A 5138-nucleotide genomic window follows, 5' to 3' on the forward strand; every position below is an offset into this window, starting at 1 on the left:
ATATTTAGCCAGATCTTTTCATCGCGATTGCCTGCTTCCCATGACAAGAGCTCACACTGCAGGCAAAATTGTATTATGACTCAACAACAGGAGCAACCTAAGTGCACAGTGAGAAATAAATGGACAAAGAAAATGCGATATATATAAATCAGAAAAAAAGTTAGGAAATTCTGTCATTTGTGACAAAATGGATGAACCTAGAGGACATGTTAAGTGAAATAAGCCAGGCACAGAAAGACAAATATATAATCACACTTACATGTAGAATCTTAAAAAGCCAAACTTATAGAAGCAGAGAATAGAATGGTGGCTGACATGGGTTACGGGTTGAGGGAAATGGAGAGATGTTGGTCAAATGGAACAAAGTTTCAGTTATGCAGGATTAATGAATTCTGGAGCTCTAATATACAGCATGTTGACTACAGTTAATAGTACTGTATTGTACACTTTAGCTAAAAGAGTAGATCTTAAATTTTCTTACTACACACACACACACAAAGTGTAACTATATGAGATGTAAGTATGAAATTTTTGTTTGTCAATTATACTTCAACAAAGCTAGAAAAAAATATGCAAGAAATACTATAAGACATTCTAATGAAAAATTTAAAAGACATAAGTAAATAATGAGGTATACTATGATCAAAAATTGTAAGACACACTATTGTTAAGAAGACAATTTGCCCAAATGATTTATAGATTCAATGAAATTCCAGTAAAATTTTCTGCATGCCTTTTTTTGTAAAAATTGGCAGGCTGATTCTCAACTTGCATTAAATAAAAATAAAGTATATTATTCAAAGCAACTTTGAGAAAGAATAAAAGAATTGGAATATATCAGCTATCTGATTTCAAGACTTGCTGTTAAGTTACCTAATCAAGACCATGTGGAATTAGGAGAAATACACATATATAGATTAATAAAACATAATAGAATGTTCATAAATAGAAGGATATATTTATGAACACTGATTTTTTTACAAAATTGCCATGGCACTGAATGTGAAAAAAAACTCTTTTCTACTAATAATACTGTAACAAATACATTTCTATATGCATCAACTTTTATACAATATCTAAAATGTAACTGGAAATACATCACAAATTTAAATATAGAAGCTAATAGTATAAATATTCCTGAAGAAACCACAGGGGAAATTTTTGCAACATTGGATTAGTAATATTCTCTTAGATGGGTCACAAAAAGCATGAACTATGAAAAACTTAATAAAAATTGGACTTTAAAAATTATGTTATTTTTATCTTCAAAAGACAACATTAAAAAATCAAAATGGCCCTTCTCAGGAGGGGAAAATATTCAATATTTTTTTCTTATGATAAACCTGAATTTAAAATATACAAATAATTCTTACAACTCAATATTAAGAAAAACATTTAATAAATAATGGAGAAAAGATTCAAACAGATATTTCACAAGGTATAAAAATGGCTAACAAGCACATGGAAAAAGTGTTCAAAATTATTAGTTAAAAAGGAAATGTAAATAAAAGTCATAATGAAATATCACTTCCTGCTCCCCGGAAAGGCTAAAACTTAACTTTGAAAGACTAAAACATTCAACTGATGTTCTGCATATAGAGCCACTGGAATTCTTTTCTCTTCTTTTTTTATTTTTATTTTTTTATTATGCTTTAAGTTCTAGGGTACATGTGCACAATGTGCAGGTTTGTTACATATGTATACACGTGCCGTGTTGGTTTGCTGCACCCATTAACTCGTCATTTACATTAGGTATTTCTCCTATTGCTATCCCTCCCCCATCCCCCCAACCCCATGACAGGCCTCAGTGTGTGATGTTCCCCACCCTGTGTCCAAGTGTCACGTTGTTCAATTCCCACCTATGAGTGAGAACATGCAGTGTTTGGTTTTCTGTCCTTGCGATAGTTTGCTCAGAATGATGGTTTCCAGCTTCATCCATGTCCCTACAAAGGATATGAACTCATCCTTTTTTATGGCTGCATAGTATTCCATGGTGTATATGTGCCACATTTTCTTAATCCAGTCTATCATTGATGGACATTTGGGTTGGTTCCAAGTCTTTGCTATTGTGAATAGTGCTGCAATAAACATACATGTGCATGTGTATTTATACCAGCATGATTTATAATCCTTTGGGTATATATCCAGTAATGGGATGGCTGGGTCAAGTGGTATTTCAAGTTCTGGATCCCTATGGAATTTCCACACTGTCTTCCACAGTGGTTGAACTAGTTCACACTCCCACCAACAGTGTAAAAGCATTCCTATTTCTCCACATCCTCTCCAGCACCTGTTGTTTCCTAAGTTTTTAATGATCACCATTCTAACTGGTGTGAGATGGTATCTCATAATGGTTTTGATTTGCATTTCTCTGAGGGCCAGTGATGACGAGCATTTTTTCATGTGTCTGTTGGCTGCATAAATGTCTTCTTTTAAAAATTGTCTGTTCATATTTTTTGCCCACTTTTTGATGGGGTTCTTTGATTTTTTTTCTTGTAAATTTGTTTAAGGTCTTTGTAGATTCTGGATATTAGCCCTTTGTCAGATGGGTAGATGGCAAAATTTTTCTCCCATTCTTTGGTTGCCTGTTCACTCTGATGGTAGTTTCTTTTGCTGTGCAGAAGCTCTTTAGTTTAATTAGATCCCATTTGTCAATTTTGGCTTTTGTTACCATTGCTTTTGGTGTTTTAGCCATGAAGTCCTTGCCCATGCCTATGTCCTGAATGGTATTGCCTAGGTTTTCTTCTAGGGTTTTTATGGTTTTAGGTCTAATGTTTAAGTCTTTAATCCACCTTGAATAAATTTTTGTATAAGGTGTAAGAAGGAAGGGATCCAGTTTCAGCTTTCTACATATGGCTAGCCAGTTTTCCCAGCACCATTTATTAAATAGGGAATCCTTTCTCCATTGCTTGTTTTTGTCAGGTTTATCAAAGAGCAGATGGTTGTAGATGTGTGGTATTATTTCTGAGGGCTCTATTCTGTTCCATTGGTCTATATCTCTGTTTTGGTACCAGTACCATGCTGTTTTGGTTACTGTAGGCTTGTAGTATAGTTTGAAGTCAGGTAGCGTAATGCCTCCAGCTTTGTTCTTTTTGCTTAGGATTGTCTTGGCAATGTGGGCTCTTTTTTGGTTCCATATGAACTTTAAAGTAGTTTTTTCCAATTCTGTGAAGAAAGTCTTTGGTAGCTTGATGGGGATGGCATTGAATCTATAAATTACCTTGGACAGTATGGCCATTTTCACAATATTGACTCTTCCTGTCCATGAACATGGAATGTTCTTCCATTTGTTTGTGTCCTCTTATTTTGTTGAGCAGTGGTTTGTAGTTCTCCTTGAAGAGGTCCTTCACATCCCTTGTAAGTTGGATTTCTAGGTATTTTATTCTCTTTGAAGCAATTGTGAATGGGAGTTCACTCATGATTTGGCTCTCTGTTTGTCCTTTATTGGTGTATAAGAATGCTTGTGATTTTTGCACATTGATTTTGTATCCTGAGACTTTGCTGACGTTGCTTATCAGCTTAAGGAGATTTTGGGCTGAGACGATGGGTTTTCTAAATATACAATCATGTCTTCTACAAACGGGGACAATTTGACTTCCTCTTTTCCTAATTGAATACCCTTTATTTCTTTCCCTCGCCTGATTGCCCTGGCCAGAATTTCCAACACTATGTTGAATAGGAGTGGTGAGAGAGGGCATCCCTGTCTTGTGCCAGTTTTCAAAGGGAATGCTTCCAGTTTTTGCACATTCAGTATGATATTGGCTGTGGGTTTGTCATAAATAGCTCTTATTATTTTGAGATACGTCCCATCAATACCTAGTTTATTGAGAGTTGTTAGCACGAAGCGTTGTTGAATTTTGTCAACAGCCTTTTCTGCATCTATTGAGATACTCATGTGGTTTTTGTCTTTGGTTCTGTTCATACAATGGGTTACGTTTATTAATTGCATATGTTGAACCAGCCTTGCATCCCAGGAATGAAGCCAACTTGATCATGGTGGATAAGCTTTTGAATGTTCGGCTGGATTTGGTTTGCCAGTATTTTACTGAGGATTTTTGCATCAGTGTTAAGCAGGGATATTGGTCTAAAATTCTCTATTTTTGTTTTGTCCCTGCCAGGCTTTGGTATCAGGATGATGCTGGCCTCACAAAATGAGTTAGGGAGGATTCCCTCTTTTTCAATCTATTGGAATAGTTTCAGAAGGAATGATACCAGCTACTCTTTATTATCTGACGGTAGTATTTCTGTGGGATCAGTGGTGATATTCCCTTTATCATTTTTTATTGTGTCTATTTGATTGTTTCCCTTTTCTTCTTTATTAGGCTTGCTAGCAGTCTATCAATTTTGTTTATCTTTTCAAAAAACCAGCTCCTGGATTCATAAATTTTTTGAAGGGTTTTTTCCGTCTCTATCTCCTTCAGTTCTGCTCTTATCTTAGTTATTTCTTGCCTTCTGCCAGATTTTGAGTTTGCTTGCTCTTGCTTCTCTTGTTCTTTTAATTGTGATGTTAGGATGTCAATTTTAGATCTTTCCTGCTTTCTCTTGTGGGCATTTAGTGCTATAAATTTCCCTCTACACACTGCTTTAAATGTGTCCCAGAGATTCTGGTATGTTGTGTCTTTGTTCTCATTGGTTTCAAAGAACATCTTTATTTCTGCCTTCATTTCATTATTTACCCAGTAGTCATTCAGGAGCAGGTTGTTTAGTTTCCATGTAGTTGTGCAGTTTTGAGTGAGTTTCTTAATCCTGAGTTCTAATTTGATTGCACTGTGGTCTGAGAGAGAGTTTGTTGTGATTTCTGTTCTTTTACATTTGCTGAGGAGTGCTTTACTTCCAGCTATTTGGTCAATTTTGGAATAAGTGCAATGTGGTGCTGAGAAGAATGTATATTCTGTTGATTTGGGGTGGAGAGTTCTGTAAATGTCTATTAAGTCTGCTTGGTATGGAGCTGAGTTCAAGCGCTGGATATCCTTGTTAACCTTCTGTCTCATTGATCTGTCTAATATTGCCAGTGGGGTGTTAAAGTCTCCCATTATTATTGTGTGGGAGGTTAAGTCTCTTTTTAGCTCTCTCAGGACTTGCTTTATGAATCTGGGTGCTCCTGTATTGGCTACATATATATTTAGGATAGTTAGCTC

Source organism: Homo sapiens, chromosome 18, assembly GCF_000001405.40.
Source record: "Homo sapiens chromosome 18, GRCh38.p14 Primary Assembly".
Taxonomy (NCBI): Eukaryota; Metazoa; Chordata; class Mammalia; order Primates; family Hominidae; genus Homo; species Homo sapiens.